Below are 27035 nucleotides of genomic sequence, written 5' to 3'. Positions count from 1 at the left end.
AATAACATACAGGACAAAGAAGTAATACCAAGAGAAATTTAAAAATATTTTGAAGTAAATGAAAATGAAAACACAAGTTACCAAAATTTGTGGGATGCAGCAAAAGCAGTACTGCAGAGAAATTCAGAGTACTGAATGCATATATTAGAAAAGATCTAAAATCAATAACTGAAGCTTCCACCTGAATAAGACAAGAATAACAAATTAAATTCAAAGTAGAAGTAATAGGCTGGGTGCGGTGGCTCACGCCTGTAATCCCCAGCACTTTAGGAGGCCAAGGCAGGCAGATCACCTGAAGTCAGGAGTTTGAGACCAGACTGGCCAATGTGGTGAAACCCCGTCTCTACTAAAAATACAAAAATTAGCTGGGCGTGGTGGTGCATGCCTGTAGTCCCAGCTACTCAGGAGGCTGAGGCAGGAGAATCACTTGAACCCAGAAGGTGGAGGGTGCAGTGAGCCAAGATTGCACCACTGCACTCTAGCCTGGGTGACAGAGTGAGATTCCATCTCAAAAAACAACAATCACTAAGTAGAAGTGATAAAAAAAATTAGAGATGAAAACAATGAAATTGAAAATAGGAAATCAATACAGAAAAGTAAGGAAGCCAGAAGCTAGTTCTTTGAAAAGAAAGAAAATTGATATCTCTTTAGCCAGGGTAAGAAAAAAAAAAAAAGGACACAAACTGCTAATATCAAAAAATGAGAGGGGACATCACTACAGATCCCATAGACATTAAAAGGATAATAAGGGAATACTATGAACAACTCTATGCCCACAAATGTGATAACCCAGATGAAATGGACCAATTCCTTCAAAGACACAATCTGCTGAAACTCATATAAGAACCAGTTTGTCTAAATAGGCCAATATCTATTGAAGAAATTGAATCAATAATAAACAACTTTCCAAAGCAGAAAGCATCAAGCCCAGATGAGTTTACTGGTGAATTTTGCCAAATATTTAAGGAAGAAATTATATGAAATTTCTATCATCTCCTTCAGAAGACAGAAGCAGAGGGAATACTTCCAAGCTCATTCTATGAGACCAGCATCACTCTATTACACAAACCAGATGAAAATAAGAAAACTATAGACCAATATCTCTCATGAACACAGATGCAAAATCGTCAACCAAATCTTATCCAACTGAAAGCTACAATGCATAAAAAGAATTCTACAGCAAGACTATTGGGATTTACCCCAGACTACTGGGATTTGAAAATCAATGTAACCCATCACAGCAACAACAAAAAAATTACGTGAGCGTATCAACAGATGCAGAAAAAGCATCTGACAAAAATTCAATACTTATTCATGATAAAACTCAGCAAACTAGGAATAAAGGGGAACTTCAACTTGACACAGAAAATCTATAATAATGGTGAGAAATGCAAAGCTTTCCCATTAAGATCAGGAACAAGGCAAGGACATCCTCTCACCACTCCTTTTCAACATCATACTGGAAGTCTCAACTAATGCAGTAAGAAAAGGAAATAAAAAGTATACTGATTGGGAGCGAAGAAATAAAACTCTTTGCAGATGACATAATTGTCTGTGTAGAAAATCCAAAAGAATTGGACTGCCCCGACCAAGTGCCTCCTGGAACTACAGCAAGTTTTCAGCATGCAAGGTTAATACACAAAGTCAACTGCTTTCCTATATACCAGCAATGAACAAGTGGAATTTGGAATTAAAAACATAGTATCACTTACATTACCTGTGCCAAATAAAATACTTTTGTATAAATCTAACTATATATAGATAAGATCTCTATCAGGAAAACTACAAAATTCTGATCAACAAAGTCAAGGAAGAATGAAACAGAGAGATATTCTATGTACATGGATAGGAAGAATCAAGTCTTTCAAGGTGTCAGTTCTTCCCAATTTGATCTACACATTCAATGCAATCCTAATCAAAATCCTAGCAAGTTATCTTGTGGATACTGACAAACTGACTTTAAAGTTTATATGGAGAGGCAATGACCCCGAATACCCAACAAAATACTGAAGGAGAAGAAAGAAGCTGGAGGATGGACAGTACCCGACCTCAAGACTTAACTAAAGCGACAGTAATTAAGACACTGAGGTACTGGTGAAAGAAAGACAAATGGATTGATGAAACAGACCCACAAAGATACAGTCGGCTGATCTTTCACAAGTGAGCAAAGGGAATACAGTGGAGAAAAGAGTCTTTTTAACAAATGGTTCTGGAACAACTGGATGTCCATAAGCAAAGAAATGAATGTTGACACACACATTACACCTTTCACAAAAATTGGCTGAAAATAGATCAGAGACCTAACTATAAAATGCAAAACTATGAAACCCCTAGGGAATACCTACATGATCTAGGTATGATGGTGAACCTTTTCACACAACAGCAAAGGCACAGTCTATGACAGAAGTAACTGATGAGCTGAACTTCATGAAAATGAAAAAATTCTGCCCTCTCAAAGACACTGTCAAGAGAATTAGAAGACAAGGCAGACTAGGAGACAGGACTTGCAAGAGACATGTGTGAGAAAGGATTGTTCTCCAGAATGCATACAAAACTCTTTCCTAACAGAAATCAAAACTCGCCGGGCGTGGTGGCTCATGCCTGCAATCTCAGCACCTTGGGAGGCTGAGGCGAGCAGATTGTTTGAGCTCAGGAGTTTGAGACCAGCCTGGGCAATATGGTGAAACTCAGCCTCTCAAAAAACAAACAAACAAAAAAAAACAACAGAGAAAGTCAACAATTAGAAACGAACTGATTTCAAAATGGGCTAAAGATTTTAAAACCTCGTCAAAGAAGATATGAATACAGAGATGGCAAATAATCACATGAAAAGATGCTCTGCGTTGCGTCGAACGCCAGTGAGGACATAGAGCAACAGGAACTCTCATTCACTGTGGGTGGGAATGCAAAATGGCACAGCTGCTTTGGGAGACAATCTGAGTTTCTAAATGCACTGTGACCGTAGGATCCGGCAGTCACATGCCTTGGCATTACCCTAAGGGATTAAGAAGTTATGTCCTGGCAAAAACATGTATATGGATATTTAGAGCAGCTTTGTTCATCACTGCCCAAACTTGGAGACAACCAAGATTATCTTCCAGTAGGTGAATGGATAAATGAATTGTGTGATTCCGTGGTAAAAAGAAATGAGCTCTCAAGTCATGAAAAGACATGGAGGAAACTTAAATGCATATTACTGGGTGGAAGATGCCAATCTGAAAAGGCTACATACTAATTCCAGTCATATAACACGATTATGTGCCACACCACGGTGGTGGATACACGGGGACACGATTCTGTGCGACACCACAGTGGTGGATACACCATCAGACATTTGTCAAAACCTATGGCATGTCTGGCGCTAAAAGTGATCACTGGGTGGGCACCAGGTGGAGAACCACTACCTCCCGATCTCCACGTCTGCCAGGCACCGTCTCACAGCAAGCGCACGTGCAGATTAGAGCTTCATGGTTGTTTTGAAAACTTAATATGAAAAACTGATCAGATATGAAATCTGTGCATGCTGTTATACAAAATTTCAACTTTCCATTTCTCAAAAGAGAAAAGGAAGGAAATTTCATTAAATTTAACTGTTACAGATTTTTGAATGGTCTAAAATTTATCATCTATTTATGCAACGACTATCTCGAAATTTAAGGAGTCACCTCTTCAAATTTTAAATCACAAATTTCCTTACAGCCAGTTTAAGCTTAAAACCTGACATGAAATTTATACTAAGGGAAGCAAGTTCAAGTTTCTTCTTAAGACTTTATTTGGAACAGTTGTATAATTATTCAGTATTTAATATTTTCCCTAACATTCAGTGGTTTCTTCGCATAGCACAGAACATTTCATAAACGTTAATCACAGTCCCTTAAACAATGATCACAGATGACTTCCTGGCTCTTTTGTGTAGAACACACACTACACTCAGGGGCTGCCAGCATGGAGGTGCCGTCCTGGGCCAGCCTTCCAGAGGGTGCCATCACCGCGGGCAGGGTCAGAAGACCTGCCGGGCAGCAGAGTTTGGGAGTTGCTCCAGTCAGGGCTGCAAGGACACGGCTGGTGCTGATGGAGGCTGGAGCCGAGGACAGGATGGGGCTCTTGGAGTCCCTGCAGTGGGGTCCCCACCGCTGCATGGGGGCGGGCCAACAGTGAGACAGGCGGGAGAAAAGTCCCATTTTAAGCTATCAATGTGGATGTGCTGGTGCTGAGACCCACCTCCAACACGTGACGGAGAAGGTGTGCAGCACGGCTGTGCAGAGATGCGGCTGGGGGTGCTGGCCCGCTGCCCCCGTGGGCGATCCCAGAGCCTGGGGCAATCCCGCTGCTCCTCCAGGAACCGGGGACCCCTTGCTCTTCCGCGTCGGGGAGAACCTGCTGCATCTCCCCTGCATGCTCTGTTCACTCGACCACACGGTCAGAACAGGCGAACACCCAGGGCCACGCTGGTCCTGAATGCTGCATGCGGTCCGGCCCCTCCCGTCACCAGGCCCCGCGCAGCCAGCTACCACGCCACCCTCCTCCCGTCCTCTTCACCCCTAGGCCAGACCCAGCAGCAGAGGTCCCCGTTCTCGCTGCCCCTGCAGCACCACCTGTATTTCCACACTGTGTTTAAGGAGGCCTTGCAGAGCCTCATTAACACCCCCATGAAGCCAGAGGGGACTCGGCCAAGAGCAGAACAAGGGGCCACCTTGGTCCCAGCAGGACCAACCACACGCAGAATCGCCTTCAGGGAGAAACCACTGTGGAAGGAGGGAAGGTCTCCCAGCCTTTCCCAGAGGTCTCCACACAGCATCAAGGCCTCGTTCATCGGCCCCTGCCCCCACCCCCCGGCACATTACTCCCTGCACGTTTTGTGCCCCTCCCTATAAACTGTAGAATCTTCTGCTTTCTTTGGGTATCAACTTGTACATCTATTTTTGTTTTCTGTCCAATTCATCTTACATTCTTGCTCGTGGCGAAATCGGACCTGAGGTGGGCCCAGTTCACCTCCTGCTTCTCTGGACAGGAGGAACTCCCTGACCGGCGTCTGGTCATCCTGCAGCCTCCTCAGACTGCAGACCCCGGAGAACCCACAGGTGGGTTGGGTGGTGAAGCTGCCTCTTCACTCGGCGCTGCAAATAACCTAGTTAGTACAGGAAACAGTCACCCGGGGCTGGCGTGCTGCTGGGTAACGGTGCCTTTCCTCTGCCACCATGTCGCCGCATCTTGACGACAGCAGCACCAGGACCCTGGGGTCCTCTACCCACTGAGGATGCCTCCCTCCCCAGCCAACCTCCATCGAAAACCCCACAGGAAAGGTCCCACACCCAGCGGAGACAGCCTGAGCCTGGAGGTCCCGCGAGAGCCACATCCTGTGGATGGAGAGTTCTCACACGTGCCACCTCCCGAGCTGTGGTCAGGGGAGGGTGCCGTCGGAAAGCAGGAGTGTGTGCTTTTGGAGAAGGGCCGTGGCCTCGAGGTGCAGCCTCCCACCGCCACGCTGCGGGACTGATGCTGGGAGGAGGAGGGGACGTGAGCCGAGGCTGCTGGCCGGGAGGGGTCCTGGCGGCGGCCATAGCCCAGCACCTACCTGTAGCTCTCGGGCCCCCGCATCCCAAACAAACAAAAGGGAAGGATGAAAATAATGCAAGAGAGTAATTCTTCACACTTAACCGTTTTAAAATACCAGCTACAAGCCTGGTTCTTATGCTCAGAGGCGAAACCCTGAGATCATCACGCTCGCAGTTCTGCGGTTTCCATTTCTGCCGTTCCACACGGTCCTGTCCGTGGGAATTTTTTCGTTTCTGTTTCACAGCTAAGGAGCTGGATCCCAGCGAGGGAGGAGGCGGGTGCTCACCGCTGCCACACACCCACGAGAAGAGAACTTACAAAAAGGATTTTTATTAAAGAGAAATCTGTTTGGTGGGTCAGATATGAAATAGATTTACAGAAACTTTACATCAGGTGTCTCCAAGACATAAAAGGCCGCCCAGGAAAAGCAACGCCCCCTTGCCAGGATGCCAGTGGGAGGACGGCAGGATGGCAGCCCAGGCCACGTGGCGTGGACCCTGCGTAGGAGGCTGCAGGAAGCTCCAGGCTGCCCGACAGTCACGGCGTTCCCCGGAAATGGGTTCCCTAGGAGGGAGCAGCAGGCGGCGGGGGTTCCAGGCATGTCTGTGCTGGGCTCGGAGCTCGTGCACGCACACTGTCCTGCTTAAACTCCTAGTCCATGTCTCGTGGGACCCCCAAAGCCGTCCCCTAAGGAATGTGCTCTGGTACACAAGGGGAAAACACACCAACCCGCCCCTTACCGAGACAGCGGGCGCACCAGCCTGGGCCACGTGAGCCTCTGCTGAGCTCTTTGGCACAGCACACCTGGGCCTTTAACACCTGTCACTTACAAAAGTAGACATTCCTGTAGTAAAACTTCTTAAAAACACCTATTTCTGCAAAATAATGTGTTTCTGTATGTGGAGCTCTGCAAATATACATGTCCTTTGGGAAGAAAGCAGCGTGGACCGAGACTGAGGGCTGGTCCGGGGACGTCCGAGTGCTGCTGGAGGTCGGTCAGGCTTCAGTCCCTGCCCGCTGCCCGCGCTCACATGAGGTCGTTGAGCTCCGCCTCCAGCGCCTTGGCCATCTCGTCGGCCTCGGAGCTGCTGCCCTCATCCTCGTTGCTGGACTCCCTGCTGGACTCGCTGGCGGCGTCCTCTTCATTCAGCTTCCTCTTGTGGCCTCTGCAGAGAAGCAAACATGGTGTGAGATGCTTGTGGCAAACGCACAACGCCGGGTCACCGCCTGGTCTGCATTTGGGAAGTGGCTTCCGTGGTTTTAACACAAGACGGCACAATTCTCTGGTCAAGGACACACACAGGCCACCGACCCAGGGCCACGTCACACACGTGTGGACAGCAGAGCCCCAGCGCAGGAGAAGAGGCCCCAGCCCTGTTACACACCAGGACACCACTGACAAAGCAGGTGTTCACCTGCTGCAAATGCACGTTCCGGCCGCTCATGAACACCTGTGATGCCAGAAGACATCAGAACAGGAAAACAGGACAGGGAAGTTAAGATCATCTGTCAGAGTAACTATTAGTGTTATGTGAACAAGCACCTCCCAGCTCATCAAGTGGGCCACGGTCTGGAAATTCTCATTTCCTCAGGCCACTGCTAAAATGACTCTTAATAAACAAAGAGAACACCAGCCCTCTGCATAACCAGCCGGTGCCACTAGGCTTTCCTTACGAGCCTCTGCATAACCAGCCAGTACCACTAGGCTTTCCTTACGAGCCTCTGCATAACCAGCCGGTGCCACTAGGCTTTCCTTAGGAGCCTCTGCATAACCAGCCGGTGCCACTAGGCTTTCCTTAGGAGCCTCTGCATAACCAGCCGGTGCCACTAGGCTTTCCTTAGGAGCCTCTGCATAACCAGCCGGTGCCACTAGGCTTTCCTTACGAGCCTCTGCATAACCAGCCGGTGCCACTAGGCTTTCCTTACGAGCCTCTGCATAACCAGCCGGTGCCACTAGGCTTTCCTTAGGAGCCTCTGCATAACCAGCCGGTGCCACTAGGCTTTCCTTACGAGCCTCTGCATAACCAGCCGGTGCCACTAGGCTTTCCTTAGGAGCCTCTGCATAACCAGCGGGTGCCACTAGGCTTTCCTTAGGAGCCTCTGCATAACCAGCCGGTGCCACTAGGCTTTCCTTACGAGCCTCTGCATAACCAGCCGGTGCCACTAGGCTTTCCTTACGAGCCTCTGCATAACCAGCCGGTGCCACTAGGCTTTCCTTACGAGCCTCTGCATAACCAGCCGGTGCCACTAGGCTTTCCTTAGGAGCCTCTGCATAACCAGCCGGTGCCACTAGGCTTTCCTTACGAGCCTCTGCATAACCAGCCGGTGCCACTAGGCTTTCCTTAGGAGCCTCTGCATAACCAGCGGGTGCCACTAGGCTTTCCTTACGAGCCTCTGCATAACCAGCCGGTGCCACTAGGCTTTCCTTACGAGCCTCTGCATAACCAGCGGGTGCCACTAGGCTTTCCTTAGGAGCCTCTGCATAACCAGCCGGTGCCACTAGGCTTTCCTTAGGAGCCTCTGCATAACCAGCCGGTGCCACTAGGCTTTCCTTAGGAGCCTCTGCATAACCAGCCGGTGCCACTAGGCTTTCCTTACGAGCCTCTGCATAACCAGCCAGTGCCACTAGGTTTTCCTTAGGAGCCGCTGCAGGTGCACCTGGTTTCTGTGACGTGAGCCGACTTGATCGGGGCACACCCAGGAGATCCCCAGAGCCCTGAAATTCCAACCACCTGATGTCCTGCCAGACACCCTCCCTCCTGGTGCCGTGCTGGGACGTCCCACTGCGCCAAGGAACCTCAGCTACAACCTTAGAGGTGGAAGCCTGGTTAAATGTGCACAGCCTGTTTTGATTTTACCCTGATTAGGGGCAACTGAGCCATACTAGCCTTCAGTTACAATCCCGAAAAGTCACTGAGAGAAACTAGGGACAGTCACCATATGTGAGTACCCTAAGAATATTTTCTTAGCTAACGTAGATACAATGTAGCTAACATACACACCTATGTGACACATTATGTGTGATACAGCCACACACACACACAGCAGGCATATAACACACATGCACTCGAGGCTCACACACAAACTATAGCACGGTAATGTGATACACCTGCACGCACACACAGCACGCATGTAACACACATGCACTCGAGGCTAATATACACAAACTATAGCGCAGAAATAACTTGAAACCATTCTTGCTGGTATTAGAAGAATCACAGTTCATTTATAAGAGACAAAAGGAATAAAATCAGCTGATCAGATGGAACCAACAGAAGACAAGAGAACCCCGTGGGCTGGCACACACAGCCGATCAGTCACGACAAGCTCGTTCAGAGAACCCAACTGTTCGTGGTCCAGGAAATACCGCATGAGAGAAACACAAGGGCCCCAGAACTCCAAGTCCTGTCCAGGTGGCAGGCACTGGGCCGTAGGATGACAGCCCCTCCCCCGCTCCCTCCTTCCCTCCTGGACCTGCCTCTGTGCCCAGCCCCTCCCTCCCTGGCCTGCCCTCTGTGTGCCCAGCCCCTCCTTCCCTGGCCTGCCCTGTGTGCCCAGCCTCCCTCCCTCCCCGGCCTGTCCTCTGCGCCCAGCCCCTCCCTCCCTAGCCTGTCTTCTGTGCCCAGCCCCTCCCTCCCAAGCCTGCCCTCTGTACCCAGCCCCTCCCTCCCCGGCCTGCCTCTGAGTCCAGCCCCTCCCTCCCTGGCCTGCCCTCTGTGTGCCCAGCCTCCCTCCCTCCCTGACCTGCCCTCTGTGTGCCCAGCCTCCCTCCCTCCCTGACCTGCCCTCGGCGCCCAGTGCCTCCTTCCCCAGCCTGTCCTCTGTGCCCAGCCCCTCCCTCCCAAGCCTGCCCTCTGTACCCAGCCCCTCCCTCCCCGGCCTGCCTCTGAGTCCAGCCCGCTCTGTAAGATGGGAACTGCCATCTTTCATCACATACTGGGACCCCTGGATCCATGAGATCCTTTCTTAAAAAGCAATGCATCCCATCATTTAAAAGCGGAGTAGGCAGGGCGTGGCGGCTCACACCTGTAATACCAGCACTTTGGGAGGCCAAGTCAGGCGGATCACCTGAGGTCAGGAGTTCAAGACCAGCCTGACCAACATGGTGAAACCCCATCTCCACATTAAAAAAAAAAAAAAAAAAAAAAAGCAAAAAATTAGCCAGGTGTGGTGGTGGGCACCTGTAGTCCCAGCTACTCGGGAAGCCGGGGCACGAGAATTGTTTGAACCCGGGAGGCGGAAGTTGCAGTGAGCTGAGATCACGCCACTGCACTCCAGCCTGGGTGACAGAGCGAGACTCTGTCTCGGGGGGGAAAAAAAAAGGCAGAGTAGCGGGAAGTGCACGCCCTAATACCTGCCGTCCAAGTTTTAAACGAATTTATTTTTATGTCAACTGGAATGAATATTTTCTACTGAGAAATAAAGGCTTACTTTTAATTGCTACATGAGAGTGAGGGGTTGCAAATTAGCTGGGAGTGTCGGTGCATGCCTGGAGTCCCAGCTATTTGGGAGGCTGAGGAAAAAGGATCCTCTGAGCCCAGGAAATGGAGGCTGCAGTGAGCCTGGGCCATGACCGCAACACTGCACTCCAGCCTGGGCGACAGAGCAAGACCCTGTCTTAAAAAAAAAAAATCTCCGCGCACCTTTTCTGTGCACCTGCTTCCCCTCTGCACACCTCGTCTGCAGATCTTGTGCCCGTGCCTGTGTTGGGCTGGGCACCGCCCGCTTCCCCTCCATGCCTCATCTGCAGATCTTGTGCCCGTGCCTGTGTTGGGCTGGGCACCGCCTGCTGTTTGCTTTGAGGACGCCAGGCGTATCATACACGAGTTTCCTTTATTTCCAGTCTCTGCTGACACTAACGACGCTGTCAGGGCCACGAGTCTGGCCTCCGGTTGCTACAGCAACAAGCTTTTGGCAATTAACAAATTCATCAGTCATCTCTTTTCCTCCGCATACACGCTGACGGCTGTTCCGGGAAAACCCGGCTCCCATCCTCCCATTAGGCTTCCTCCACCTCACTCCGTTTTGAGAACTTGAAACAAAACAAGACAGAGACAGTTCTCGTAAACGTGAAGGTGCTGCCGTGAGGGGTGTCCCGAACCCCTGGAAGAGCTCAACCCACTGGCAGGTGGACGGGACAGGAGACCCTTGCGAACAGAGGCGGTGTTTCAGGCCCCCAGAGCAGTGCATGGCGCTGACCTCGGGGAGGGGGCAGTCATGACTGTGAACAGGAGAGCCGAAGTGCCCTCTCAGGTCGAGCTCGGGACGGTCACCAAGTCCAGGAGGGGGCGGGCCTGGATCTCGTGTGCACGGGGCGCGACCCTCACAGTCTGGTGCCCGGCTCCCTGCCTGTGTGCTGATGCCTTGCTCAAGGGAGCCCTGGCCCCTCCTAGTGGGGCCAGACTCGGGGGTGCTGGCAGGTGTGGTTGACTCCCTCACAGCGACGCTGGGTTGGACGTATCAGGGGCACTGAGCAGAGCAGGGGCAGGGGCAGGGGCCCCGACCGAAAGTGAAGACGGGGCAGACGAGAGCCAGGCGGGACCCTGGGGCAAGCAGGGAGAGGAGGGGGAGGGCGAGAGGTGCAAGAACCAGTTCCAACAATTCTTTTCTTTCTAAAATCAAGCGAGGAAGCCATCCGTGGCAGAGTTCTAATGGCAGCAAGAGGATGGCAAAGAATGGGAAATGCCAGCTGTGACTCTCTGTTTGAGGTTTAGAAATATGTTCCCCTCACAAGGCCGACAAAAACACCCAGAGTGCTGTTGACAGCAGGACACACCTTCAGAAACGCCAGCATAACTTGGCAGGGTGCCACAGGACCTGAACCGAGCCCACGGAAGGGACCACCTCAGCTCCCGCTGGAGAGCCCTGTGCACATGCACCAACACGGCTCACACACAGACACGGCTCACACACAGACACGGCAAACACACAGACACGGCAAACACACAGAACGGCTCACACACAGACACGGCTCATGTGCAGTCACGGCTCCCAGGCAGACACGGCTCCCAGGCAGTCACGGCTCACACACAGACATGATAATGATGACTCTAAAGGCCTCTGATCATGACTCTGTCGCTGTTGTGTGAGATGAGGCGGCCGCAGGCGCTCATGGCATTCGCTGGGAACAGTTTCTTGTGGATCCACAGCTGGGGACGCTGTGGTCTGGGGCTGTGCTAAGTGCTTCTTCCTTAGATTTTCACAAGAAACCTGCGGGCAGGCGCCACCATCCCCATCTCACAGCAGGGGCCTGGACCTCACGATGCTGGTAAGAATGCTGAGAAACGTCCTCCACGCACTTTGGAAAAACGTAGCTGACTCGGGAGACAGGGTCAGGGCTTCCATGAGGCTGAGTGTCTGGGACCAGGTCAACGGCTTCCACCCTGAGGGGTCACAGAGCCCGGGCTGGGGCGGCCCTCCCTCCATGGGTCCCCCCAGGCCCTGCGCGGTCCCTCCTGGTGCTGCGAATGCTGCACCCTCGGTCTCGCTCCGTGATGAAGTACAGGGAGCGCCTCACTAAGGTGGCACAAAACCTTTGCTCTTAGTTAAACGATGTTTGGAGCATGGGATTTAAAAATACGAGATGAATGGACTTTAGTCATTAAAAATTACCTCGAACATTAGACACAGCTGCAGACTATGGTTAGTAAATGTCCGCAACTGATACTAGCTTCACTTCCTCAGCATAACATGCAATATTTGTATTTTGTTCATACAACCAGCTGCACAGCTCCATAGAGAAATGTTAACAGATAGAATTTGGGGAAAATTTACAGCTTTAACATTTATCTCAAATTCAACATTGAATAAGGCAAGAATACAAACAGAATAATATATATGTATACCCCACCCCCATATTTCAGTTTTCCAAACACACTGGGCTGTCACAGTGCACACGATTTGGCACCGGAAAGATATCCGTCAGTGCGGCAAATGCACAATTGTGTCACACCAGCATCTAATCCAAAGGGGATGGAACAATCCACAGGCACAGGGTTCCCGTGGCCACTGCCAGCGTGGCCGCGGGAACAAAAGGGAAGACCAGTGCTGCTCACCGTGAGGCCGCCACGTCACTAAAAAACCCGTGCCGGCGTGGCCAGGTCTGCACGCACCGGACACCTGCAGGAGGCGCTGCGCATGGCGGATAATTTCCCCAGTGCACCCTGGAGTGGAACGTGGCGTGAGAGCGGCGTTGGGGCTGCCCAAAGCAGGTGAAGCCTCACACAAGCGTGGGGGGCTCCGCGGGGACCTGGAAGGAACCCACCAGATGACGTCAGCGGGACCCAACAGTCCAACCACCTACAACACAGGGCTGGGCTCTGCCAAGGAAAGCAGGCGGCAAGAGCTGGTCTGCTGCTGAGAGTGGGCCCGGGCCCAGGGAGAGCCAGCGGTGCCCTCCCTCCGTGGCGTCTGCACCTGAGTCCCAGTTCCCGCAGGGCCCCAGCGGGGATGCCACAGCTCTGGGTGTGAACATTGTCATGCTCTCCTCAGCAATCTCATGGCATTAGAATGAACCTGTGTGTGTTACAGGTGGAAGAGGGGCAGGGGCCCTTCCCAGCAGGGAGCTGGCCGGGCGCTCACCACACCTGACCCTCCCCTCCGAGAGCCTGCTGCCAGGCCGGGGCTCTTTAAAGTGGGAAGTTCAGTGACCTATTTTAGGGTAAGAATTGCTGCTTCGTGTATTGGTATGAAAGGACTGGAAAAAAATTAATGTCTCTCATTTAAAATTGGGCAATCATTAAAAAACACTATTTGATTCAGCAGCTTTGTACCCAAATTCTAAACTGCAGGCACCAGAGTGGCTGGCAGCACACGGTCAAGTCACGCGACCAGGAGCCTTTAGCCCTGTGCACCAAGGACCACTTTAACACCCCTAGGCACGGTAGGCACAGTGGGCACGGTGTTCACACCTGTAGGTCCAGCACTTTGGGAGGCTGAGGCGGGAGGATCGCTGGAGGCCAGGAGTTTGAGGCCAGGCTGGTCTCAATGGGCAACAAAGGAAGTCCCCATCTCTACAAAAAAATTTTAAAAACATTAGCCAGGCATGGTGGTGCGCACCTGTGGTCCTACCTACTTGGAAGGTTGAGGCGGGACGATCCCTTGAGCCCAGGAGTTCAAGCTTCCAGTGAGCCATGATCGTGCCACTGCACTCCAGCCCAGGCAACAGAGTGAGACCTTGTTTCTTAAGCCCCTAAGTATGGGGTGGGCAAGGCAGGGCCTCCTGACCTGTTCACAGTGACAGCAGTTGTCAAAACGCTCTCACTTTTCCAAGAGATGCAGTTTGTGTAGCTATGAAAACACGAAAAAGCAAACTTTCACAAACCAAAACTCCGCGTGCTATGTGAAGGGAGAACGAACACAACCTCCACCTCCGACACCCTCGAGTGGCAAACCCTGAAGAGACCGCAGAGTCAGAACACGCATGGGAGGGACGCACGGACAGAACGCGCATGGGAGGGACGCAGGGTCAGAACGCGCACGGGAGGGACGCGGGGACAGAACGCGCACGGGAGGGACGCAGGGACAGAACGCGCACGGGAGGGACGCGGGCACAGAACGCGCACGGGAGGGACGCGGGGTCAGAACGCGCACGGGAGGGACGCGGGGACAGAACCCGCACGGGAGGGACGCGGGGACAGAACGCGCACGGGAGGGACGCGGGGACAGAACGCGCACGGGAGGGACGCGGGGACAGAACGCGCACGGGAGGGACGCGGGGACAGAACGCGCACGGGAGGGACGCGGGCACAGAACGCGCACGGGAGGGACGCGGGCACAGAACGCGCACGGGAGGGACGCGGGCACAGAACGCGCACGGGAGGGACGCGGGCACAGAACGCGCACGGGAGGGACGCGGGCACAGAACGCGCACGGGAGGGACGCGGGCACAGAACGCGCACGGGAGGGACGCGGGGACAGAACGCGCACGGGAGGGACGCGGGGACAGAACCCGCACGGGAGGGACGCGGGGACAGAACGCGCACGGGAGGGACGCGGGGACAGAACGCGCACGGGAGGGACGCGGGGACAGAACGCGCACGGGAGGGACGCGGGGACAGAACGCGCACGGGAGGGACGCGGGCACAGAACGCGCACGGGAGGGACGCGGGCACAGAACGCGCACGGGAGGGACGCGGGCACAGAACGCGCACGGGAGGGACGCGGGCACAGAACGCGCACGGGAGGGACGCGGGCACAGAACGCGCACGGGAGGGACGCGGGCACAGAACGCGCACGGGAGGGACGCGGGGACAGAACGCGCACGGGAGGGACGCGGGGACAGAACCCGCACGGGAGGGACGCGGGGACAGAACGCGCACGGGAGGGACGCGGGGACAGAACGCGCACGGGAGGGACGCGGGGACAGAACGCGCACGGGAGGGACGCGGGGACAGAACGCGCACGGGAGGGACGCGGGGACAGAACGCGCACGGGAGGGACGCGGGCACAGAACGCGCACGGGAGGGACGCGGGCACAGAACGCGCACGGGAGGGACGCAGGGACAGAACGCGCACGGGAGGGACGCAGGGACAGAACGCGCACGGGAGGGACGCAGGGACAGAACGCGCATGGGAGGGACGCACAATCCAGTCAAACACGTATGTGTGCTGACCACTCATCTTCCCCACAAAAATTATCCATGCCACAGTCATTACAACTGCTTTGGAAAAGCCTGAAACTCACATGAACTTACATGTCGTGGGGACACCTCCTAATCCCAGGAGCACCTTCTGATTCCCCACCCCACTCTCAGGACCCACAAGTCTTTCCCATGGAGTGGCCTGGTACCCCTGCTGAGAGCCAGCTGGCCATGGACATGGGGCTGTTCTGGGATGGACACTCCTGCTCCACGGCCCAGCACACTGTCATCACACCAGCCTCCGTTACTCTGAAGCACGATGTGCGTCCTCTGGCCTGCTCTTCCTCAAGACCCTCCAGGGTCTCCTGCGTTCCTGTAAGAGCTTCAGGACTGGTCTGTGGCCCCTCCAGGGGCAGCATCCTCCCACGACGCCCCCCATGACTGAGTGGCGGGGGAACCTCCAAGGTCTCGCCATGGCCGCCTCTCCCTTTGCTTGTCAGTTTCTGCCACTGGTGAGTTGGTTCTCACTTCCGGTGCACATGTGCTAGCAACTGTCACTCTTCCCGATGGATCCAGCTCTTAGCATCGTAATTCCATCCGTTATCATTATAAAGCGTCCTTCTTTACCTGTAGAAGCATTCTTTGTTTAAATTCAGTCTTCTCTGATATTAGCGGAACACTCCAGCTTTCCTACGGTGATGGCCTCTGACCCAGTTGTCCATCCACTCATAGTTAAAGCTCTGAATCCCCTCACGTTCACACCGCCACTCTGCTTTGTTTCTCATGCCTCATGTAGTTTTAGTTCCTGTCTTCCCTTTTCTGTTTTCTTTTGCATTAAGTGAATACTGTCTAATGTAACATTTTGGTTCCTTTTGTGAACTCCAAGTATCTGTGTCAGGTCTCACTTAACTTAAAAAGTTTATTTTGCCAAGGTTGGGGTCACCTGCCTGTGACACGGCCTCAGGAGGGCCTGACATGTGCCTGAGGTGGTCGGGGCACGGCTCTGTTTTACACATTTTAGGGAGACATGAGACATGAAAGAACATATGTAAGATGAACACTGGTTCACTCTGGAAAGGTGGGACAGCTGGAACCAGGGAGGGACTTCCAGGTCACAGGTAGACAAGAGACAAATGGCTGCATCCTCCTGAGTTTCTGATCAGCCTCTCCAAAGGAGGCCATCAGATCTGCACCTGTCTCAGTGAGCAGAAGGTGGCTTTGGATAGAATGGGTGGCGGGTTTGCCCTGAGCTGCATCTGTCTCAGTGAGCGGAGGGTGGCTTTGGATAGAATGGGCGGGAGGTTGGATAGAACGGGAGGCAGGCTGGCCCTGAGCAGTTCCCAGTGTGACTTTTCCCTTCAGTTTCATGATGGTGGGGCCCAAGGTTTATCCTCCTTTCACACTTGTATGATCTGTTTCACGATGTATTTTGAGTTACTTCCTTAGCTTCTGCTCTTGGGTTTAGCATACGTATATCTCGCTTGATCAGAATCAATTTTGGACTCATGCTGGCCTAATTCCAATTCGATACGGAGACATGGCTGCTGCACAGCTCAGCCCCTCCTCACTTTGTGCTTCACTGTACAATACCACATCCATGCACGCCATGAACCCAACAATGCATCGTTGTAATTATTTACAGCAGGAGTGAGAGCAGGTGCACACTCAGACTCCTCACTTTGTGCTTCACTGTTTTTTTTTTTTTTTTTTGGAGACGGAGTCTCACTCCGTTGTCCAGGGTGGAGTGTAGTGGCACGATCTCGGCTCACCGCAACCTCCACCTCCTGGGTTCAAGCAATTCTCCTGCCTCAGCCTCCTGAGTAGCTGGGACTACAGGCGCATGCTGCCATGTCCAGCTAATTTTTTGTATTTTAGTAGAGATGGGGTTTCACCATGTTGCCCAGGCTGTTCTCGAACTCCTGAACTCAGGCAATCCGCCCGCCTCAGCTTCCTAGAGTGCTGGGATTACAAGCATGAGCCACCGTGCTCGGCCTTGCTTCACTGTACGATACCACATCCATGCATGCTACAAACCCAACAATGCATCGTTGTAATTATTTACAGCAGGACAGGGAACAGGTGCACACTCGGAGCACGGTGAGACCAACCTTCTTGTTCAGCACTCCTGGGTCTCTTCAGCTCTTGCTGTAAATTCCAGTCACCATCTGCTGTCATTTAATCCTAGGCCCCTCCTCGGCGCGGCTACTGGCAAATGTTACATCTCCACATGGTATGGGCCCAACAATACAATTAGGTACAAAGAGTTGTTTTATTTCGTTTTGTGACAGGGTCTTGCTCTGTGGCCCAGGCGGGAGTGCAGTGGCATGATCTTGGCTCACTGCAACCTCCCCTCTGGGTTCTAGTGATTCTTGTGCCTCAGCCTCCTGAGTAGCTGAAATTACAGGCGTGCACCACCATGCCCAGCTAATTTTTGTATTTTCAGTAGAGACAGGGTTTCACCATGTTGGCCAGGTTGGTCTTGAACTCCTGACCTCAAGTCATCTGCCCACCTCGGCATCCTAAAGTGCTAGGATTACAGGCGTGAGCCACAGCCACCACATGTCCAGGCATAGAGTCTTATACTATAAAACTATACTGCTTTTTAAATCAAGAGAATAAAGGAGAAGCAACACGCTACCTTACAGAGTTACATAATCTGCATTCCTCGTGCTTGCTTGTTTGTGTGGATTCAGATTTCATCTAAGTCACCTGCTTTCAGCCTGAAGAGCTTCCTTTAGAACTTCTTGTAAGGTGCGTCTGCTAGTGAATTCCCACTTTGTCTGGGAAAACCCTGCCTTTGTTTTTGAAAGGTTGTTTTGCTGGATACAGGGGCCTGGGTGTGGTGGTGCCATCTCTGAGGAGAAGCGGCTGTGGTGTGATGGGTTCTCCCACCCTCAGGCCTCTCTCCCATGGACGCCTCATGCCTCCTCTGCTGCCCTCAGGCCTCTCTCTCGTGGACACCTCACACCTCCTCTGCTGCCCTCAGGCCTCTCTCCACCAACCCCTCACGCTTCCTCTGGTGCCAGGCCTCTCTCTCTCTCTCTCTCTCTCTCTCATGCTTCATGCTTCCTCTGCTGCCCCCAGGCCTCCACCTCATGCCTCCTCTGCTGCCCCCAGGCCTCCACCTCATGCCTCCTCTGCTGCCCCCAGGCCTCTCTCCCACGACGCCTCATGCTTCCTCTGGGCCCCCAGCCCTGCTCCCGGCATTTCCTCTTCCACTGGGATGTGCCTAGGTAAAGATCTTTGTGTTCATCCTATTTGGAGTTTGTTGTGCTTCTGGGATGTATAAATTAATGTTTTCCATTACATTTGGGGAGTTTTCAGTCATTATGTCTTTGAATAGTTTTTCTGCTCCTCTCTCTCCTAAAGATTATCTTTCTTAGTTAATTATCCAAGATTAAAAACAACTTTGATGTGTGAGTGTTTCTGGTGGAGCACTATTCCCTGTTGTCTAAGAGTGGGAGCTCACGCAACCCTCCCAAACGGACAAGAGGAGGTGAACCTCAGAAGGACCCTGCCTGCCGCCCTGTGTCTCCCACGCAGGCTGACCACACACCCCTGTGGAGAAGAGCTGAGTGTTGGGATCTGGGTACTCGTGTCAGGAAACTAAGCCTTTAAAACGTGGTGCTGTTTTCCTTTCCTGTTTATCACTGCACCAGATGGGACAGGAAACGGGGGCACCAGGACTAAAATCTCCAAGTACTTAGGGAGCCATCATCAGCTGTTGTCTCTGTCAACAGATCATGGGAACGACCAGCTCATCTTCTTGCCAGTAACATAACAGCTCCCACCATGCTGTGCTATGTTTCTTGGCAGTTAACTCAATGTCGTTTTCACTTCTCCGCGAACTCTAGGAATGATCTGAAGAAAGAGGCTATGGTATATTTTAAAGTTGCCTTTGTGAGTGATGATTCACCTCCGGCCACCAAAAGCATAAAAGGATAGGCTCAGGGAGAGATCAACCGCACGGGGGACCTCACCCAACCACAGGCTCAGGGACAGATCAACCACACGGGGGACCTCAGGGACTCAGGGACAGATCAACCGCACGGGGACCTCACCCAACCACGGGCTCAGGGACAGATCAACCGCAAGGGGACCTCGGGGACTCAGGGACAGATCAACCACACGGGGACCTCACCCAACCATGGGCTAAGGGACAGATCAACCGTACGGGGGACCTCAGGGACTCAGGGACAGATCAACCGCACGGGGGACCTCAGGGACTCAGGGACAGATCAACCGCACGGGGGACCTCACCCAACCTGTGCAGGAGACCTCACCTCACCTGGGCGCCTGTTCTTTTCGGTACCTGGAACTGGTGTTGGGACGATGTGTCTGTGAGATCCTTAAACATTCTGAAGATGACTTGTTTGGTTTTTTATTTTGAGGATTTATTTTAAGGAGTGAAAGTGCCCGGCAGGCGGCTGCATATAGAACAGGCATCTGATGTTTGTTGACTTGAGAGAAGAATGAATCACTCTTGGTAGACAAGTAAAAAACACAACCTTCCCCCTTATGTTAAAACTCATTTTCAAGTTCAACTGACATTAAGATTCTGTGGAACAGCTTGGCCATGCGAAATTAGCAAGACGTACCACCAGCTAGAGCACTGACAGGAAAGAGCAGAGTGACCTCCAGCTTCTGTACGAAACGCATTGCCACGCATGGGAAAGAATCATGATGAAACCTACATGTTCAACATGCAAAAATAAAAAACTCAAACCACATTTACTTCGTTACAAGCAAAAATTTCATGTGAAAAATTTCAAAACATTCACATCTCACTGAATACCCCATAAACAGGAATGAAATAAAACTGGAAGTCCCTGGTCTTTAAGGAAGAAGTGAGGTCCCCAAAGTCCAAGAGTCACAAAAACCCAGCTGGACAGGAAGCTGAAAAGACCCCACCGCCCCACCCTTTTGAGGGGCACACACGGCCCCCAGCAGTCAGGCTGCTATCGCGGCCACACGTCCACAGCGATCCGCAAACGGCAGGCGTGGTGCAGGCAGGGAGCAAGCGCCGAGTCCCACCCGTCCCGGCCGTGGGTATGAGAGTCCCACCCGTCCCGGCCGTGGGTATGAGAGTCCCACCCGTCCCGGCCGTGGGTATGAGAGTCCCACCCGTCCCGGCCGTGGGTATGAGAGTCCCACCCGTCCCGGCCGTGGGTATGAGAGTCCCACCCGTCCCGGCCGTGGGTATGAGAGTCCCACCCGTCCCGGCCGTGGGTATGAGAGTCCCACCCGTCCCGGCCGTGGGTATGAGAGTCCCACCCGTCCCGGCCGTGGGTATGAGAGTCCCACCCGTCCCGGCCGTGGGTATGAGAGTCCCACCCGTCCCGGCCGTGGGTATGAGAGTCCCACCCGTCCCGGCCGTGGGTATGAGAGTCCCACCCGTCCCGGCCGTGGGTATGAGAGTCCCACCCGTCCCGGCCGTGGGTATGAGAGTCCCACCCGTCCTGGCGGCGGGTATGAAGGCTGCGCAGCAGAACCTGAACAGACTCCCAGGACACTTTATTCTCCTGATCTCAAATTCTGAAATCACCCAAGCCCACCGAGTCTGTAAGACATAGAGTGAAACGGCAATTACAGTACTGATCTGGTCCTTGCCCGAGGAGCCAGAATGGAGAGGCAGAACCCCAACCACCTCCTGCAGCTGGGAGGGCAGCATGGAAGCCGCGCCAGAGCCGAGGGGTTTTCTAATCATGCTCGTGTGGTTTCACCAGGGAGGGTCAGTTCCGTGCTTGCGTGGTTCTCTAATCGTGCTTGCGTGGTTTCACCCGTGAGGGTCAGTTCTGCCGTGCGCAGGTCATTTAGCAAAAAAAAAAAAACCACAAAAACCCAGGGGTGCTAACTCCAGTCCTGGCCCCCAAGTCTTCAGCAGCTCTGGGTCCCGACCCGCTGAGCGCCACATCCAGTTGCCCACAGGGGGAGACACGGATGCAGCACGTATCCTGGATGACGTGGCTGGCCGCCAGCAACACCCTGACTGGTCTTAGTGGAAAAGCACTTTGGGTTTCTTCTTTTAATTAGAAAAAAAAACTATCAGGTTAAACCACCTATGTTCATACAAAGAGCACGCTGCAAATCCGCAGATACTAACATGGCCACGGCAGACAGACTCCTTGGAGCTGGCTCAGCTCAGCCCCGGGCTAGAGGGTCTTCAGGGGAGGGCAGTGGAACCCTCCCAGAGGCCCCCAGTGCACCGCCTTCCCCAGGCCTGACCCCAGAGCTTCATGACAGACCCAATGGGTCTACACCGAAAAGTGAAGGAAGGTACGGCCAGGCAAAACCACCCCGTAATTCATGTGGGAAGAACCAAGGCTTGTTATCACCCAATACGGAATTTCAAAATCTCTCCTAAAACAACTTCATATCATTTCAACACAGCTGGAAAATGCTGCTTTCTACGTGGTAAACACAGAGTGGGTTGCCAGGAGAGAAGCTGCACTCATTTCCCTGCTAAACCACAGAGCTGCAAATCAAGTGATTTTCTGTAAGTAATTCCTGCAAACGGAACAATGACTATCTTGTCTTGTCTGCATCTGTTGCTGGAATTTCTGGCCCAATTTTGTAACTGGATTGCCTGAATGAGTTACGCTCTTTTCTTGAAATGCTGTTTATTCACCTACAGGAGAGCCTAAGAGTAAGACCAGACGTGGGGAGAAAGAAAGCAGTCTGCACTGTCTTCTTCACCACAGACACCAGACGTGTACCTGGAGTGCCCCCTGCTAGCCTGCTGAAGCTGGGAGCAGCTCCTCCGAGGCTGGCGCTGCTCCTACCTCATTTCACAGGTGAGGAAACCAGGATGCAGAGGTCCAAATACCGGCCCACGGCCCCGCAGCAGATGCAAGAAGGCTCTGGAGACCAAGTTCTCAGGGCAAATCCTCGGGACACAAGTCTGTACTGAGGATGTCGGCAGGACCTGGAGGGCCACATCCTGTCTAACAGGCGGGCAAGACAAAGCCTCCGAGGTTACCTCGGACGGCCTCGGAGCAGCCCCGGAGCTGAAGACGGGAGCCGTGCTTCTAAATCCTCAAGGAGATGCTGCCACCTGGGGTTACGCAGCCCGCTGACTGCGGACGTATGGACAGGACAGACGCTTTCTCAGGAAGCTTCTGGGAGATGTACTCCACCAAAATGCAGAGACAGAGAACACCCCAGAGAGTGGGGAAGGCAACTCCCGGGGGCGGTGAGCAGGGCGGGCGGGGGGAGGCGGGGACCTGCGGGGGAGGCCGGGGGAGTGGAGCGGAGAGGCAGCCAGGGATTCAGAAACAGGCAAAAAGGAAGAAAGCTAACAAAAGTGAGGTGATTATCAAATCCAGGTAAAACAGATGTTTAAGAAAGGGAACAGCATCACCGTGTCCTATTCTATTTGGTAAAAGCAATTTACGGTCATAGGAAACACTGCGTCATTCCACACCCCCAAATCCTGGCGTGTTGATATTGGCAGGGCGGAGGCAAGAAGAGACGCAGTCTGTATGTTGAACGCTAAGAATCAACAGACGGCACCCAAAATGCCTAACGGCACGGCAGGTCTCCGCCACCACCCAGAACCGGGCAGTGAGGTGGCTGCCTTTCACACAAGGACATGCATGGGGGATGCGGGACGGGGACCTCTCCACACCCTGGGTTTCATGCCTGTTCATCGACCAACCTGAGAAAAGATGTCTCAAAGCAAACCGGCTCCTCCCCACCATTCGACAGCAGCACAGAGATCCAGAGAACAAAGCCGATTAGTGGAGAAAGATGATGTCAGAAACTGCGATGGGACCGTGAGCTAATCATCTGGGAAAAAAGCTAAATCCCCCCCTTACTAAAAAATAAATCTTAATTTACAAAGATTCATATGTAGAAAAGGTCAAACGTAAACGCATCCAAGGAAAAGACACAGGGTTAAGATTCTCGGACAAGATTCAGAACCAAGCAGCTGTAAGATCTGCACAATAGTAACATCTCTGCATGGCAGAAATGTCATCCAAGTTAAAGGTGACAAAAAGATACCTTTCACGGCAATGCAGAAAACACTGACCAGTCACAAGGAGCAGGTGAGCAGCGTTTAGAGTGCGCTGTTGCGGCCAAACGCCCGAAAACAGGCCTCATTCATGGCGAAGGAAGCGCAAAGCAAACCACGGTGCTCAGCTCTTCCCACCCACAGACCGCACGCTGGAGGCGGGGACCACTGTCACCGGCGGGGGACCCACATCAGGCACCACCCTCGACATGCAGGACGCTGGCTCCTGACCAGCAGTGCCATGTGCAGACCCTGCACACGCCTGTGCACACATACAGACCCCGTACATGCCTGCGTGCACACGTGCAGACCCCCCACCTGCAGAACCCACACACGCCTGTGCGCACGTGTAGATACCTCACACACGCCTGTAGACACCTCACACATGCCTGCGCACACGTGCATACCCCCACCACACGCCTGTGCACGTGTAGACACCCCACACACGCCTGCGCAGATGTACAGATCCCCCCCCACACCTGCACACACCTCACACGCCTGCACACATGTAAGATGACATGGATCAGCATGGAGACAACCAAGTGGCCATCACCAGGGGCTGCTGAGTTTGGAAGCTGCTGGTGTCACACACAGAATGGTGGAGGGCGTGAAGAATGAGATGCAGGTAGGCGGCCCACCAACTGCAGAGTCACCTCCGGGAGCCCGTGTCAGGCCCCTCCCACCTCAGACCCCGCACTCACCTGGGCCCCCGGCCCCCTGCCGCGCTCCTCTCGCTGGACGCAGGTGCCCCGAGCGTCCGCTCCCTGCGGGTCCCTGGCTTCCGGGGCTGGGGCTCCTCCTCCTGCTCCTCAGGCCTCCTCTTCTCGCTGTCGCTGTCGTCGCTGCCTTCTCCAAGGATGTCGTCCACCTGACAAACAGCCAAGAGTCAGCGACAGACCTCCTTCCCGGGCCCCGTTCCTCCGCAACAGGCTTCTCCCGGCAGAGTCCAGGGCTCTGAGTGCAGCAGGGTGGGGGCTGGAGGTAGCACTCTGCTTTCTACCTGAGCCCTGGGGCTTGAAACTCAACCAATCCTTAACAAAGCCCCGGGCAAAAGACGCTTGGAAATCCACAGAGCAAACCCAGTCGGTTCGCAGGCAAAGATTGGGTTTAAATTCCTTCTGTCCCTTATGTGAACAGGGACTTTATTCCTGGTGCACTGTTGGATTTTATGGTGAATAATCAGAATATTTGCTTGAAATTTTCAAGATCAATGAGATTCACAGCAAGACTCCTGAGTGGCAGGGCTTTCAGGGAGGCGTCCCAGTCCTTCCCATCCTGGAATCTGGGAGAGCAGCCACCTGGGGGTGGAGACGTGGCCGTGCCACAGGGACGCTCGCTAAGATGTCCACCCGCTCGCTCTGGGCACGCCTCCAATTTGGGAAACATGCAGAGAGGGCGACTCCTGAACACCTGGGGTGAGCTCAGCCGGCCCCACGCCTGACACGTGTGACGCGGACGGGAGTGGCAACAGAGGCGGCAGGCAAGTGAGCAGGTGATGGGAGTACCGCATCCAAACCTCAGCCTCCCCGAACCTCAGCAGGCGGGAGGTGGGTACCGTCAGTGCCTCGATGTGGCGGCGGGAGAGGCTGAGCCCAGTGCCGGGAGGTGAACTCAAGTTCTCCCCTCCTCTCCTGAACTGCACGGAGATGGGAGAAGGACGCACAGAAAGAACTTACACCCAGGAGCGAGGGGCCCGCTCGGCCGATGACTAGCGGAGGGAAGAGCACTTTATGTCCAGCATGGATCACGTCGGAGTGGTGTTGGCGGGCAGCTCTCCCGGGGGCTCCCATCCCAAGAGCACGGCCCCGCTCACAGCTCTCCGACGTTGAGGGCGTCTGTGTGCGACGGCACAGCCCCGTGGTCCCTGAGACAGGCAGGTGAGGCGGGGCGGCCTGACCACAGTCCCCCAGCGCAGGCTGTTTCCCAGGAGGGATCTGGGGGTGCACACCTGGCTGGGGCCTTGAGGGGCACTCACCGACGCCGACCTAACCCCACCCCCGCAGCAGGTACGAGAAACGGCCACAGAGGACGGAGCACAACTCCCGAGACAGGCGCGGTTCGGAGCAGTCGAGGCCGAGTCCAGAGTCACAGAGACTCGGTGTGAAGCCGCTTCGATCAGAAATCACAGCTCAGCCCCCGAGCCCACATGGAGGCCGACGCATCCACCCCGTCCACTCTGCAATTTCAAACTCATCGCCACGTGTCCAGCTAGTCACAGCACATGTGCCCTGGCCTGAATCATTAAAAGGCAGAAACATTTTAACCAATGGTTAATTAGCTAAGGCAGCGGCTTTATCATCAGGTCATTATAATGATCTCTAAAAGTAACATGTTCCCAGGGACGCTGGCATGGAATGGTATTTAATAAGAGCATCTGGTTACTCGACAAGGTTACTAATATTCACACTTCACCAGAATGCTTACATCACTGAATTTACTGTTTCGATGGCAAATCTCCTACGGGAATAATTCTACTAAATTCTATTCTGAAATACTTAGGGCCTTTAACACGGCATCATACCTTGTCAAGAGAGAAAAACAAGGCACTGTTAAAATCTGTTATTTTACACTTGACAGCCAAGGGCAGGCGGGCCGGCCAGCACGGCAGCCCACGGACCCGAGGGACCCTCGCTAGTGTGGCGCCCCACCTGGGAGGGCCTCAGACGTCCGTGCCAACGCTGGTGAGGCAGGGCAGCCCGGCACGTGCCCCCGTGCTGCTATCTGGAAGATCTGGAGGTACGTTTTGCACAGCCAAGCCAGAAACGTGGGCACACATTCACATTAAAACCTGACCTCGCCTACATCATGCTCCTCCGATCTCCTCTCCCTCTTTCTGCCTGACTCGTGTAAACACACTGATGTGGGAACGACACCTACCTTTCCTGGGCTTGTTTTTACAAAAAAGGTGACTGCGCTTTCTGAAAAACAGTTTTCTTCATTACAGAGGCTCCTTGACTCAGGATGGGGTCACGTCCAGATGAGCCCATCACAGGCTGAAAACGTGTCAGCACACCCGGCCCAGCCGCCTTCCACGCTCAGACATTACCCCATCGCTGGCAAAGTCGTCCAGCACAAGGCCGACTTGGAACAAGCTGTTCTACAGAATTCTGAGCCAAGACTTCTAATTCAAAGTGTGGTTTCTACCAAACACACGTCACTTGCACATCATTGTAAAGTTAGAAAATTGTTAAGCGAACTATTGTAAAGTTGAGGGTCGTTTGTATTTACTTCACTTAAAACATGCTAACATAATTTTTTTTAATCTTAAGGAAAATTTAAAAGTATGTAAAGAGAAAAAACACAAGTGAATTCATACCTAAGTGTTGGAATTTCTACCAAAGAGCAAATACAGATAACAGCAGATGCTACGGTATCCTGTCAATGCACGGAAATGAAATGTTTCTACCAACCTCCTTGCACGACCCTGGATCACAGAATAAAACTCTCCCCAGCTCTGCGCTGGAGTGAGGTGGGACGGCTTCAAGAGAGAGGACGGGAAACAAGAAGAGACACAGAGCAAGGTCGGGAAAGCATCCTGAGCATGAGAAGCAGAACAGGCTGAAACGAGGTAACGCAGCTGGAGAGGCAGCGGACGCCAGCTTTGGGGCCCAGCAGAACACGCAGAAACGAGGTAACGCAGCTGGAGAGGCAGCGGACGCCGGCTTTGGGGCCCAGCAGAACAGGCAGGAACGAGGTAACGCAGCTGCAGAGGCAGCGGACGCCGGCTCTGGGGCCCAGCAGGCTTTTCCGCAGGGGTGTACAGGAGACGGGCCCCACCTCAACCCTCAGTGATCTCCCAGCCCTGGTTCCGGCACCTTCCCTTCCCCGCAGTTCCATGATCACACAGGAACCTGCAGGGGGACCGACACATGGGTGTGAGTCTC

At 53.4% G+C, this 27035-nt stretch overlaps 1 protein-coding gene across 13 annotated transcripts in view, besides 2 other annotated features; it reads right to left on the bottom strand.

Moving 5' to 3' along the window:
- Positions 1-3748: 3748 nt before the first annotated feature.
- CTDP1 (CTD phosphatase subunit 1) overlaps positions 3749-27035 on the bottom strand; it is a 79858-nt gene continuing 56571 nt past the window's right edge. For 9 of the 13 annotated variants that reach the window (XM_047437924.1, XM_047437922.1, XM_047437926.1 and 6 more), the window contains 2 exons: positions 23853-24019; positions 3749-6722 (listed from right to left, as the gene is read on the bottom strand). In XM_047437924.1, coding sequence (XP_047293880.1) covers positions 6584-6722; positions 23853-24019 — 306 coding nt within the window. In that variant the 3' untranslated portion in view covers positions 3749-6583. The remainder of the gene's footprint in view (positions 6723-23852; positions 24020-27035) is intronic. The other 4 variants (NM_001318511.2, XM_011526261.2, NM_001202504.1 and 1 more) reach the window with 3 other exon arrangements.
- Positions 12795-12964: an enhancer, noted in NCBI's record as "experimental_50709 CRE fragment used in MPRA reporter constructs". NCBI's record gives its function as "activates a minimal promoter by MPRAs in K562 erythroleukemia cells, with activity observed for both the introgressed and non-introgressed 18:77507495 or rs56378884 variant alleles {active_cell/tissue: K562}" and the evidence as "EXISTENCE:reporter gene assay evidence [ECO:0000049][PMID:34662402]".
- Position 12879: a transcriptional cis regulatory region, noted in NCBI's record as "Neanderthal adaptively introgressed variant 18:77507495 (GRCh37/hg19 assembly coordinates) or rs56378884 in the experimental_50709 CRE". NCBI's record gives its function as "modulates activity of the experimental_50709 enhancer by MPRAs in K562 erythroleukemia cells {active_cell/tissue: K562}" and the evidence as "EXISTENCE:reporter gene assay evidence [ECO:0000049][PMID:34662402]".

Source organism: Homo sapiens, chromosome 18 (genome assembly GCF_000001405.40).
Source record: "Homo sapiens chromosome 18, GRCh38.p14 Primary Assembly".
Taxonomy (NCBI): Eukaryota; Metazoa; Chordata; class Mammalia; order Primates; family Hominidae; genus Homo; species Homo sapiens.
The sequence above is the reverse complement of the archived record's forward strand: the minus strand, read 5'-3'. Positions and strand labels throughout refer to the sequence as shown.